Here is a 15,237-nt window from a genome sequence, read left to right as displayed (position 1 = left end):
ATGGATTAAAGACTTAAATGTTAGACCTAAAACCATAAAAACCCTAGAAGAAAACCTAGGCAATACCATTCAGGACACAGGCATGGGCAAAGACTTCATGTCTAAAACACCAAAAGCAATGGCAACAAAAGCCAAAATTGACAAATCGGATCTAATTAAACTAAAGAGCTTCTGTACAGCAAAAGAAACTACCAACAGAGTGAACAGGCAACCTACAGAATGGAGAAAATTTTTGCAATCTACTCATCTGACAACGGGCTAATATCCAGAATCTACAATGAACTCAAACAAATTTACAAGAAAAAACAAACAACCCCATCAAAAAGTGGGCGAAGGATATGAACAGACACTTCTCAAAAGAAGACATTTATGCAGCCAAAAAACACATGAAAAAATGCTCATCATCACTGGCCATCAGAGAAATGCAAATCAAAACCACAACGAGATACCATCTCACACCAGTTAGAATGGCAATCATTAAAAAGTCAGGAAACAACACGTGCTGGAGAGGATGTAGACAAATAGGAACACTTTTACACTGGGACCGTAAACTAGTTCAACCATTGTGGAAGTCGTTGTGGAAGGGATCTAGAACTAGAAATACCATTTGACCCAGCCATCCCATTACTGGGTATATACCCAAAGGATTATAAATCATGCTGCTATAAAGACACATGCACACGTATGTTTATTGTGGCACTATTCACAATAGCAAAGACTTGGAACCAACCCAAATGTCCATCAATGATAGACTGGATTAAGAAAATGTGGCACATATACACCATGGAATACTATGCAGCCATAAAAAGTGATGAGTTCATGTCCTTTGTAGGAACATGGATGAAGCTGGAAACCATCATTCTCAGCAAACTATCGCAAGGACAAAAAACCAAACACTGCATGTTCTCACTCATAGGTGGGAATTGAACAATGAGAACACATGGACACAGGAAGGGGAATATCACACACCGGGGCCTGTTGTGGGGTCGGGGGAGAGGGGAGGGATAGCATTAGGAGATATACCTAATGTTAAATGACGAGTTAATGGGTGCAGCACACCAACATGGCACATGTATACATATGTAACTAACCTGCACGTTGTGCACATATACCTAAGACTTAAAGTATAATAAAAAAAAAAAAAAGAATTTAAAAAAAAAAGAAAATGACAATGATGTCATAAAAATATAGTGACAAGTAATCTAAGAAGTACATGTAAAGTTATGGGAGTTAGACAAAAAATATTTGTAATTAAGCCTTTCCAAGACAAGACAACTAAGTCCTTAACAAATAAAACAATATTTGTCAGCCCTCTTTGAAAAAAAAAAAAAAAAAAAGAATATGCTGACCGGGCGTGGTGGCTCATGCCTGTAATCCCAGCACTTTGGGAGGCCAGAGCTGGCAGATCACCTGAGGTCGGAAGTTCAAGAGCAGCCTGACCAACATGGAGAAACCCCATCTCTGCTAAAAAAAAATACAAAAACTAGCCGGGCATGGTGGTGCATGCATGTAATCCCAGCTACTCAGGAGGCTGAGGCAGGAGAATCGCTTGAACCTGGGAGGCGGAGGTTGCGGTGAACCGAGATCGCGCCATTGTACTCCAGCCTGGGCAATAAGAGCGAAACTCCGTCTCAAAAAAAAGAATATGCTATCTGAACACCAGTGATGAAACTATTAATGAGCTATGAAAGCAAATGTGTTTTTCCAGAGAGTAAGGCAGTGGACAAGGAAGCAAATCACTTGTATACAAAAATCTTAATTTTTCAATCCCATTTTTTCACTTATGCATTCTTAAAAATACATCTTGAATTTCCAAGAGAAATTAGGAGATTTTGCTATCTTTGGAACTAAAATTATCCTCACAGCCATAATTCTGGAACATGTACTGAGCAAAGAAATGTATTTTGTTACAGACATTTGGGTTGTAACAAATGTAAACCCTCTCTCTGCCACTAACTTTTTCTTTTAACTAAATAGAAATTCATGGATCTATGACTAATTTACTCCCTGGAGAGAAACAACTATAGATTCATCACAGTCTTTCTGCTTGAGTAAAGATTTCATTTTATGTTAAAAAAATTTGAGACAGTAAGTAGAGACTGTCAACATCAGTTGGAAAAGAAAAATTGAGGTTACCACAAAGAAACCTCCTAGGAAAACATTAGATCCCTCTGAAGTTTCTATACAAATGGACGTGACAAACAGATGATGGAAACACCCAAACCACACTACAGGTAAAACATGAAACCTGTTTGATTTACAGTGCTGCCTTCTTTAATTCTGCTTTTGCAATCTCTTACCAGAAACACCTGTGAAAGGAGGCTAGCCAGGGAGTCCACTACATACTTTCATAGATGAAAAGCAGTCTTCCTCCATTTGTAAAACCCTTTGGATTTGCTACTTTTAATATCGACCTAATAAAACCTACGGATGACCTTCACCCTAACTTCAGTCTTGTGTTAGTAAAAATAAACAAATTTTTATTTTTACTAGTCTTGTCTAGTAAAAATAAACAAATCTAACCTCGGAGAGAGAAACTATCTTTTTCCAGCATTCACTTTTTAATAAAAACAAACCCAAATAAGCAGCAATAATCTTCAGTGGGAACATTTTTCTGTTCTTTGATTAGGTTTTTAGCGTTTTTTTCTGCTGGGAAAAGGCCCAAGGAAAGATGACATTTGCGCGTCCCACCACACACTCCCGCAGGCTGTAGTGTAGATAAGCTTGGGTCCTCAGACAGTCCACCAGCTGCAGTGTCATTCTTTCTCTCCCACTCAAGAAAGCATTTCTGTATGCAAGTGAGTGACAGTGACATTATTTGAGGGCTAAGCTCATATCTGTTTTTTAAAAAAGCAAAGCATGTACAAACTGGGGTTCTCATAATTAGTAACAAATTGCCCTTGGCACTTCACACTTGAGAACTGGAACAGCAGTTGAGAACCTTGGCTACAGTACTCTGATGACCAGTGAACTGCGGTATGTGTACATGTATCAGTCAAGAGGACAACTAATGAGACTGTAAAGTTCTCAGAAGGAGGGAGAGTGGGAGGTACCAAGCGGAGTAATCAAGATAATAGGGGTACAGAGGCAAGGGAAATTTTTAAAAAAGGTAATAGAAAAAAAGGAGTGTGAAAGGGGTAAAGTTAAGAAACAGAAAAAATGTGGAAAAGCTCCAAATTGTCTGTTTCTTTGTTTTGCTCACCTTTTTTCTCTTTTAATAATTTTTGGAAGGAGAAGGGGAGCTTGTAAAGCAAATAAGAATACTGAAATACAAAAACTTTCCCATCAGTCTAGAGAATTCTATTCTAGACATAACTGCAGAATTAACACCACAACTTACAAAGGGACAGTCTCAGGTGGGTGCGGTAACTCACGCCTGCAAATGTCAGTACTTTGGGAGGCCCAGCTGGGAGGATCGCTTGAGCCCAGGAGTTCAAGACTGGCCTGGGCGTGATAGTGAGCCCCTATCTCTATAAAAAATAAAAAAATTAGCTGGGGTGGTGGCATGCACCTGTAGTCCCAGCTACTCAGGAGGCTGAGAAGGGAGGATTGCTTGAGCCCAGGAGGTCAGTGCTGCTGTGAGGCAAGATTGCACCATGAAGAAAGCATACTTTCAGCTTTATGGTAGTAACCAAATTTTTAAGCAAAAAAGTGCTGTAAGTAGCACATTTTAACCTCAAAAGTCACATTGGATTGTATCATACTGTCTTTCTGTGAAAGGCTATTCTGCAAGTAGTAACTTCAGTTCAGCACTGGTAAGTTAGGAAGAAAATATTTGAAAATAAAAAAAATCCGCACTTTGATGAGCATTCTTTAAAAGATTCCCAACAAAAACAAAGCCATTCTTCATATTAAGTATTTCCATGAAACATCACTGGCACACTTGGGCTCTATCATGAAGATGAAACAGATACCCTGCAGACAAGCTAAGCTTGGCCTCTAACCCATTTTTCATGCACCAGAGCTCAATGTTTATGGTCTCTGTCAAGTGATTTTAAGGATAACAAAAACCACAACTACTTGTGTGATGCATTTCCTAAATGCTTACGAGATGCTGACTCAAAAGTGTTGGTCATCTTGGTGTCTAGAACTGTTAAAACTGAACAAAGTGCCAGCTTCTATACAAAATAAACTAGGAAGCATGAGAGAAAGGCTGGGAATGGCGGGACTAACATTTAAAGAGCACCTTGTAAATACTACGTACTTTATAAATGTTCAAAAAAGAAATGTAGCATATATTGAATAACTATTTTGAGCATGAAAAAAATACTTTTTTCTCTTTAAGAGAACAGTGAACTTAGAAATCAAAAGATGTGAAGTTAAAGTCTGGACCCTGAAACTTATTAGTTGAATGATCTTGATGATCTTGAGCAATTCCTTTAATTACTCAGGATTTGTGAGAAAGAGACAATACTTTAAAATGAGCTGGTGTGTGTAACAGTTTTCTATAAACTGTTGAGAATTATCCAAGAGAAAAAAGGTACTACTACCACACTGTTATTTTTTCATCCAAAAATGGCATTCAAACATCAGTTAGGAGTAATGCAAAGACTCATTTAGAGTAAAGCATAAAGTCCCTTTATTCATCAGCACTGTACGCTTTTATGATTTACTTAACAAGATCAACCGATTCTTGCTACTAGCTGAATATGACATAACAATCGATGTTGTCACACCCACAAGCCTAATTAGAATAAGAGACTGTCAGAACTGTAAGAAACCCTAAAAGTCATCCCACTTAACACCTTTATGAAACAAAGGAGAAAAGGGTCCAAGATCATAGAGCAAGTCAATGGCAGAGCCAGGTCTAGAATCCAAATATCTTGACTTGATCCCGTGCTTTATTGGCCACATACTGAAAAGGAAAAGCTGAACACTGATGCAGGCTATGAGGTATTGCTTGTGAACTGAAAATGAAAAGGAACGCAGAAATGGGAAGAGCTTCCTAATCAAAAGCAAATGGCACTTGTGCACAAGAGGGCATATGCAAGGATGTCCACTGAAGTGTGACTTACAATAAGGAAAATAAGTGAGAGCAACCTTAATCTTAATGTTCACTTATTAATAAGAAGATTCTTAAATAACCTTACTGTTCACTTGTTAATAAGAAGATTCTTAAATAAATGGCGGCACATCCATGCAATGGGGCACTACACAATGTGAGTACACATTCATATACAAACATATACATACACATACACTGATATGGAAAGAATTTTAAAACAAAATAATAAGTTTCAAAACAACTCATACTGTATTCATATGAAAAAAGAAAACTAAATACAAAATACGTAAATATATTTTAGAAGCTCAGAAGGGAACTTGGCAAATCAATAGACCTGTTTACCAGAGAGGAAAGAAAAGGATTAGGAAAAGAATAAAAAGTGAGTTTCATTTTGCATTTTTGAATTCCTCATGAGCATATGTTCATAAATTAGTTGTATAATTAAAAAGTGAACTGAATTTTTATAAAGGGTAATTGCATATGTATTCATTTATGTACATGTGATAGAAACATTTTATTTGAAAATTTCTCACTTCTACATAATTTGGGGAGAATGGGGCATCCTGGCTAACTCTAATTTAGATGAAAAGAAGTAACATTATACAAAGATCATACATTTCCATAAACTTAAAATACATTTAATACAATCTATAGTTAATTCTGTTTAATTCACTGCCAGTTTAAGTGATACCAAGTAATTTGATGACCACTGGAATCACCTGGGTAGCTTACTAAAACTAGAGATTTCCAACCCCCTCCCCAGGGATCTGGTTCAGTAGGTCTTGAAATAGAGACTACACAGTCAGAGCTTGAACCACTGTCTTGGACAATTTGCCAGGAAAATATGACCTCCAGACAAGAAAAAATTAGAGAACAATACACTGAAAGTAATTATAACGTATAGGTACAGTACAAACATTACGTGAATGAATGGGGAATAGGAAGATAATATTGGACCAGAGTAGTCCAAAGAATAGCCCCTGAAACTTGACCTAAGAAACAGAATTAGAATTAAGGTTTGACATAAGTAGGTTTCAGATAGAGAAACAGAAAGAAAAGGAAAGGAAACAAACCTTGTGTCAATACCTATAAGCAAAGTCAGTGAGGATTTACTATGAAGGACTAGTGAGGATCACAACTTACTGGATTAGGGGTTGTTTGAGGGGAAGCAAGAGATTGAAGTGGATAATAGAAATAGGAAGTGGCTAAAGTTTCTTGAGTAACAACTGATAGGATAAAAACACTATTTTCGGAGGACTGATTTGGTAGCAATGTGTAGGATGAATTAGCTAGGGGAAATGCTAAAGGGAAGGAGAGCAGGTTAGGAGCTACTGCAGTGACCTAGAATAAAGAGAAAAAAAGGAAAATAATCTTTAAGTAATTTAGAAAGCCTCTGACAATCTTATCAATATGTGAATCAAAATTATAAGCATCTATTGTCATAAATATATATGACATTATAAGAAAATAATTCTGGTGACATTTTGGATAAACCGAAGTTTATATATCCTATGCATGTTATAACATATTTCTATGTTCACTATTGTCTAATATTTTATATAATTATATAAGTACAATTAGAAGTGCCTCAAACTATAATCGAAAATATCTACTGAAGTGAAGTTAGTGATAATTTGAGTTACAACACAAATAAGTTGTTCAAAAGATTAGTCTACAGGTTGAGGGTACGGTTTTATAAGTACATTTTGGAACTTACATTAAGCCTAATTCAACAAATATATTTTATTACCTTCATTAAGATACACACACATTTCTCACTTTCAAAATTTTATGGATCTTACATAAAATACTAAAACCTTTCCACATTTTCACTATAAACTATACAAATTGCATAAAGAGTTTTTGTGTTAATTATAACCTCAGTGAAGATATGTTTGCATTTCTGAAAGTAAGTTCAAATTATGTATTTTATATCTAAGATCCCATCTCAAATTTGCTCATTTGTTAACAGGACAAGGCCTTCATCAATGAGACCACAGATCAAAAGTATAAATACAATCATAATTCATCAATGTGCGGATTCTCTTTTCCTCCAACATTTGCTTAGTTTCAATTTGTAGTTTGTCTACATTGTGTTCAATGTAAGAACTGTTACTTAAGCTTAAAATTACAGAAACATTATTAATCTTTCTTAAGTTCATTTCCCACATATCTTGGATCATTTTGTCCCTACAGAATTATTCGGTATCATACAAGGTTGAGTTTGGAAGGTTAAAAGTCACACCTGCTATGAAAAAAAAAAACTTGGGGGGTGTGGGGTTAAAAAATAATAAAAAATCCACTGTATCAAAATGAACTCCAACGGTGTAACCAATACCTTGCAGCTGTTGTGATATCTTCATTTACAGGCCAGGAGGAGAGACATTTCCCTCAAACTTCTATAGAAATTCTTTAGCTATGCTTTTAAGGACAAAAATATACAGTGAAATTGATTTTTCTTCCTGATCTAAACTTTCTCATGCTTAATCTCTAACTTAAAATTTAAATTTTTGTAACTCAAATCATTGTCAAAAGCTTTAATAAGGATCAAAGCAAAACTCTAACAATCAGCGTTAATAAAAATAATACTGATTTAGAAGGTTTTCTTCTCAAAATCTGAGATTAGAAAAGAAAAAAAATCAACTAAACTTAAAATAATTAAACTGAGGAAATAATGAGACTTTTCTGACGAAAAGTAGGGAAAGCCACAAGATGCTGGGGCTGCATGACCTCAAACTGTAATAATGTCCCTTTTACACTTTGGCACTAGGGCAACCAGGGAAAACTTTAAATTCATTGTATTCAATTTGTCACGGTGTAGATTCTGTTTGCAACTCCAGAATCTATTATACATGCCAGTGACACCCAAATACTATGTGACAACTTTTAGAAACAAATTCTAAGTATAATGTATTTTTTAAAAGACGGCAATGAGAAATCAGAGGACCAGTTTCAAACTGGGTGTTAATCTTGGGTTTTAGCCTCTTTGGCTTCAGTCTCCTCTGTAAAATAAGGAGAGTTAGATTAAATTATTTCTAAGGTCCTTTCCTGCTGTGAAATTCTATTGTATTTTCCTGTGGAATTTTAGATAATTCAAATCACCACATATTTTAGTCTCCTAAAGTATTTCAACACTCTGGCATGGCTAAAGCTAGTGAGCCAGGTTCCTGTAATCAAAATTTGATGTTAAAATATTTCACATGAATAGGCAATAAAAATGATCCCCCCATAAGGTAGGCAAGAACTAGTATTTTAAAATGCTTTGAAAAATAATGCCGGCTCTTTATGTGAACGGCTAGAGACAGACTTTTTAAATGACTAGATAAATGGCTTAATAAAAAAAAAGAGCTCAAAAATGCTTGCTAGGAAGACAGAGCAGAATTCTCCATCTGTCTGCCTTAGATGAAGGTGGAGATTGATGAACGGGTGACACTAATAACACATCCGTGCTGGTGCATGTCACACTGTAGGAAATAACGCCAGGTTACTAAAGATGGTCATGTTGAGATTGCTCAGGAATCGTCTAGTTTACCAACCGAGTGAGTTTTATCAGAAGAGCAAATACGAAAGAGTGCTCAAGTTAAAAGGGGTATTTAAAAATTTCCCAAAGTACTTTTCCTGAGTTTCTCATTTACTATCTCAGAAAGGCAATATACGCCCCTCTTTTTTCATTCTAAAAATTTTCCTTTAGTAGACTTTTTCACTTAATGTTTTGTCTATTCTAAAATATAAAGTTTAATTTTTAAAGGAAGAGGAAAGCTTTAATGAGGAATATATTTTCTGTATTAATGTTGGTTTGTTTTCTGATTATAAAACTAACACATTTTCCTGAAGCCTAAGAAAATGCAGAAAATTACACAATTACCCATATTCTTACTACACAGATAAAACATTGTAACTCTTTTTGATCTATTTTCTCTGAATATTTTTCCTTTTTGCCTAAATATAGAAATTAAATATAAACAAAATTATGATCACACTAGATGCATAAAGTATTATCACTTTGGATTAGCATTTTCCATATAATTAAAATCTTCTGAAAACATGATTTTTAGTAGCCACATGTTCCATTATATTTGCCATTACTTATATATCACACAATTGTAACCATACTACTACGTTACGTTAGATTGCAACTTGTTTCTCATTTATTTGTAAGAATCTTGAATTAAAGCTAGGAAACATCCCCAATTGTGGCAAATAGTTTTCCTAGTTTGTGGTATTTTTCAAGATGGTTTTTGGATAGGCATTAAATTTTTTTTCAACACTTTGTATTTTTCTTTGTAATTTTTTTTTTTTTTTTTGAGACCAAGTTTCACTCTTTTTGCCCAGGCTGGAGTGCAATGGCATGATCTTGGATCACTGCAACCTCTACCTCCTAGACTCAAGTGATTCTCCTGTCTCAGCCTCCTGAGTAGCTGGGATTACAGGTATGCACTACTGCGCCTGGCTAATTTTGTATTTTTACTAGAGATGGGGTTTCACTGTGTTGGCCAGGCTGGTCTCGAACTCCTGACGTCAGATGATCCACCCACCTCAGCCTCCCAAAGTGCTGGGATTACAGGCGTGAGCCACCGTGCCCAGCATTTTCTTAGTAATTTCTATGACTGCTTTTACAATTAAAGAGTCATCCTTGATCCAGATGTTAGTTTTTCCCAATTCCACTTACTTAATAATCTAGGTCAGCTCTATTACTTTCTGATGCTTCAATTACCATCTTTGGTAAAACTCCTTTTTTTTTGAGACAGAGTTTTGCTCTTGTCGCCCAGGCTGGAGTGCAATGGTACTATCTCAGCTCACTGCAATCTCTGCCTCCCAAGCTCAAGCGATTCTCCTGCCTCAGACTCCCAAGTAGCTGGGATTACAGGCATGCGCCACCATGCCTGGCTAATTTTGTATTTTTAGTAGAGACGGGGTGTCACCATGTTGGCCAGGCTGGTCTCGAACTCCTGACCTTAGGTGATCCACCTGCCTCTGGCTCTCAAAGTGCTAGGATTACAGGCATGAGCCACCATGCCCAGCCAAAGCTCTGTTTTAAGGGGGAAAAAAATCTAAAAATTAATTTTGACATAATGTACAGCACCCAATATTGTAAAAATAATAGCTAATCATGGCACACTTGTGCAGCTATGGGATTGAATTTCCAGAGTCTGGCTGAACCGTCCAAATTCATCTTGGTATGGGCTATAGTTTCATGTCATCTAGTAACAGTTATTCACTGAGGTTTAATTAACAGTGGGGATGAACGTAGATTCTGAGTTGGATGGTCTTTCTAGAACTACAACAGTGGTAACAGAAATCTCTCAGTTAACTGGTGCCCATTTTGTTAGCCAGGTTTTGGGAAACTGGGCAGGAGAATAGTGGGAAAATGGGGATCTATTTTCTGATTCCTCATTTCCTGAAGGGGAGTTGCATATGGTTTCTTGGCTTGTAAGAAGAAAAGAATTTTAGTCTGACCCCATTTGAGAATGGGAACTAAGTGGAAGTCAGGAGCCCACTGAGTTATCAAGCAGTTTGACTTTATGGAAGTTTTATGTGTGCTGTGCAGTTTGTTTCATTTTTCCTAGTGTATCCATTGATGTGTCTACCAGTTCTTTTCGCAGAATCACATTGTTTCATTTTGGCTTCAACACAGGCAAGTCCCAGGGCAGAATACATTAAAAAGATCGTAATTCCCTTTTCGAGAATGGGTTTACAGTGTTATTCTTGCATCTGTAGCTTGAAAATAATTCTAGTCAGTGAAAGACCGGAGGATTAAATGGGCCCCAAACCAAATATAAGAACTATAATTCTCTATGGTATGCACATGCTAAATTAGAGTCTAGAACAAAGATCCTGAAGGGGCTTTCAGTTCATTCAGAACAACTTCATAACAGGACAAATGCATGAACACCAAGACTCCCGTATGCTTTCCTTGTGCATATAGATCTTTCTTACAAAGCAAACTCACATTCAATGCCAAGTCAATTGAGCTTACTAAGTTTTCCCAGAACCTGACTTACATCATAGGTTGAAGTATTTTGCAGGAAAAAGTCTTATATATGTAGAATCCAAGGGCTCTCTGTTGTCATAAATGTTCAAATCACCCTTTCTATTCCTTCTTCCTGGCCTTAAATCTGGCTCTTTCATATGGAAAACTTAAATCTTTCTATAATCTTGGCTTGCTTCTAGATACCATCTTTGACAGAGAGATGGAAAAGATGTGTTATGACCTCTCCTAAGAAGGGTTGCCTAAAGACAGCCCTTTATTTTCTCAGCATTATTAAATCATTCATTTTGTCATCTCTTCTCCACACTAAAATTGAACAGTAAGAAATCAAAGATACAATTTCTGCTCTTAAGTACCAAACTAGGAAGATGAGAGGCTAACAGAGATGCAACTGGGAAAGCAAATAAGGGAAGACAGGTGCAAGAATGTGATCATGTCACAAAGTCCTCCACTTCTCAGATTCTGAAATCAAAATGCTGCTTAATGTTGCCATCTTCACATCAAGGGGGAATATTTCTACATATGTATACATGTATATATATAATGTAGATATATATATATGTAGATCTATTCCCCCTTGATGTGAAGATGGTGACATTTTGAAGATGGTGAGGTGGCAACTCAGAGTGGAATTGGGTTTATTAATAATCTCTAGTAAGAGCAGACCTGAAGGGAAATCATCTCCCTTTTCCTCCAACTGCATATATCCTCCCTCCCACTCCATACCAGGAATCCAAAAATTAATAGAGTATTGTCCCTGCCTTCCAAGTGTATATGGACTGGCCAAGAGGGTGAAGGAAGTTTTAAGATTGGTGGTGGGGGGAGTTCTTAAATCCCTTACATCATTCTTTTAAACCATTCTGATTTCACTCAAGTCTTCAGTGAAAGGCACTAAGTTAAAGTGTAGAGTTTGATGCATTTTTACATATGTACACATCTATGTAACCACCACTCAGATCACAATATACAACTTTTCCCAGCACCTCAAAGGCTCACTTGTGCCTCTTCCCAATCAATAATCATACCCTGTCCCCAGAGGCAATCAACATTCAGGCTTCTATCACCACAGATTAGTTTTGGCTAAAGGATCACCTTTTAAAGACAGCCAAAGATAAAAGTTTAAGCAAAACCTTACATAGTTAAAATTCAGGTTAATTCAACTTTATGAAAATACATAAAAATGAAGTCCTAGTAATGTTTTAATCCTATTAATGAGTGACTCCTAGATGAGATTTAATTGATTTTTTTCTCTTGAAGTTTTAGAAATACCTTTTCCAATGACTTATGAGGTATAGATCTTATATAACCTGTAGAAGGCCTCTGATGAGCAACAAAACTTCACTGATCTACAATAAAACTACTACTGGTACTGTTATTTGTCATTATGTTATTTTTCCTAGGTTATTATTTTTAAAATCCATACTATTCTGCCTCCCTACATTTTAGTTTCTTTCCAAGTTTGAGTTCCCACCTGAATCAACAATATCTAGTTACAATAAGTGGGTATACTTACTTAAGTGTAATAAACAAAGAAATGCTTCAGTGTAAAAAATTACACTGATTTACAGTGTAAAACTACAGTGTAAAAATTAACTCTGATACTTTGGTTTGACAGAATATCTCTATCTATCCATCCATCCATCCATCCATCCATTTAGAGACAAGATCTTGCTCTGTTCCCCAGGAGTGCAGTGGCTCATTCATGGCTCACTGCAGCCTTGATCTCTTGGGCTCAAGTGATCCTCCCTCCCTCCTCAGCCTCCCAAGTAGCTGGCACCACAGGCATGTACTACCATGCCCAGGTAATTTTTTTTTAAGAGACGAGGTCTCACTGTGTCGTCCTGGCTTGATAGAATATTTAAATAAAGCTGTCCTGAAGGCTAATGTGAATATAAAAATAACCACAACAGTGATAAATATAGACAGGAAATAGAGATCTGAAATTTTAAAAAGTTGATGGGGGTAAGAAAAAAACTGAGTGAGATATTATGGAAATGACAGTCATATGAAAGGGTGAAAGAAGAGGCTCTGTTAATTGTGAAAGAGGGCAGAAATGGTCGCAGTGCACAGAATAAAAAGAAAGAAAAGCATAAGATCATGGAATGCAGAAAAAGAAAACTGTTTAAGAAGAGGTGGTAAACAGAGACTGCATGCTATAGAACTAAACAGGAGAAGAAATCAAATGAGTTTGTCAAAGGAGTCACTGACCTGGCATTGCCAGGAAAGTAATGGTGACAGAAGAAGTTAGACTCCAGGGCACTAGCAAGAAAAAAGACCATATGAAGTTAAAGTATTAAGTATAATAATATATTTAAAATAACAACAGTCAACATTTACAGACTTTACTATGTGCCAAACACTGACCTAAGCACTTGACATATATTACAATATTTTAAAATTCTTAAAATAATTCTATAAGGTAGGCATAGATTTTACCGATGGAGAACTAAGGCACAGAGAGGTTAAAGAAGTCACCCAAAGCCACATAGTTAAAGAGGCAGGATTCAAACCCAGGCAGCCTACTCCAGAGCCTACATTCTTAACCACTAGGCTATACTGCAGCGAAATTTTCTATTGTTTTCATAAAGTAGAAGGTGCTACTGCCCATGTATGGGTGTTAAGAGAGTAAACTATGATTTGAGTTAACATGGAATAGAAGAATACTTGAAAAAAAAAACTACTGAAGGAAGTGTGCTTGGGAGTTAGCTGTGAGGACTAAGTTGTGACAGAAGCATGAAACCAGAATGGGTAAAATCTGCACCGTTTCCATTTTCTTCCAGCAAGCAGTGTTTGTTAGCCTGGGAGCTGGAGCAAAGGCATCAAAATTCCTGAAGATGACAACACAGAGCTTTAACATTTAAACTAGAAAATTCAGTTCAGATAATTTCTCCAATTACTACTAGCGTTTTCAAAAGCCCACTGAAAAACCCACTGCGTATCCTGCACCAGGTAAGGTGTTAAAGTACAACATGATATAAACAGGCTAAAGGAATTAGGTGGAATTCTTCTTCAGGGTCTGTGCAAGGTAGCACTGTGAATATGCTGTTTCTATGATCTAAAAATGACCAGGGCAGCCTATGACCCATCACCTATACCCTCACGATTATTTGTGTGATCCATGTGATTTCAGTTCTATGATCTCAGGACTGAACCTGCACAGCACCTGCTACGTAGTAAGCACTTGTTAACTGTTTCTTAAGCTATTACTGAAACGAAAAAAAAAGTTATAGCAAGAAAACAAAAAATATTTCATTCTCTTGTGTTTGCACAGCATAGAGTGGTGATTAAGAGGAAGGCTTCGAATCAGACACACTTAAACTTCATTCCACATTCTACCACTTACTAGTAACTTTTTAATTAATCTTCCAAACACTTTTTTTTTTTTTTTGAGATAGAGTCTCGCTCTGTCGCCAGGCTGGAGTGCAGTGGTGCGATCTTGGTTTGCTGCAACCTCCGCCTCCCAGGTTGAAGCGACTCTCCTGCCTCAGGCTCCCAAGTAGCTGGAACTACAGGTGCCCACCACCATGCCCGGCTAATTTTTGTATTTGTAGTAGAGACAGGGTTTCACCATATTGGCCAGGATGGTCTCGAACTCCTGACCTTGTGATCCACCTGCCTCAGCCTCCCAAAGTCCTGGGATTATATGCCTGGCTTTTCTTTTTTTTTAATTAAGGATCAAGATAATTTTATTTAGGCAGAGGACCTGAAAGAGACAATCCCCAAATTAACTTGTAAATGAGATTCTAAGAATTCTTCTAAGTTTTATAACGCTTTATTTTTTTCTCTTCTTTAAAATTTACTTTAAGTTCCGGGATACATGTGCAGAATGTGCAGGTTTGTTATATAGGTATACATGTGCCATGGTGGTTTGCTGCACCTATTGACCCATCTTCTAAGTTCCCTTCTCTCACCCCCAACCCCCCAACAGGCCCTGGTGTGTGTTGTTCCCCCCCAGTGTCCATGTGTTCTCATTGTTCAACTCCCATTTATGAGTGAGAACATGTGATGTTTGGTTTTATGTTCCTGTGTTAGTTCGCTGAAGATAATGGCTTCCACCTCCATCCATGTCTCTGCAAAGGACATGATCTTGTTCCTTATAATGGCTGCATAGTATTCCATGGTGTATATGTACCACATTTTCTTTATCCAGTCTATCATTGATGGGCATTTGGGTTGGTTCCATGACTGTGCTATTGTAAATAGAGCTGCAATCAACATACTTGAGCATGTGTCTTTAATGATT

General features: G+C 36.9%; 1 protein-coding gene across 15 annotated transcripts in view; it reads right to left on the bottom strand.

Annotated features, from left to right (window-relative positions):
* The window catches only part of DISP1 (dispatched RND transporter family member 1), a 190,957-nt gene that overhangs the window by 27,316 nt on the left and 148,404 nt on the right, over positions 1–15,237 (bottom strand). The window lies entirely within an intron of this gene.

The sequence above is a fragment of the Homo sapiens genome, chromosome 1, assembly GCF_000001405.40.
Source record: "Homo sapiens chromosome 1, GRCh38.p14 Primary Assembly".
NCBI lineage: Eukaryota > Metazoa > Chordata > Mammalia > Primates > Hominidae > Homo > Homo sapiens.
The sequence above is the reverse complement of the archived record's forward strand: the minus strand, read 5'-3'. Positions and strand labels throughout refer to the sequence as shown.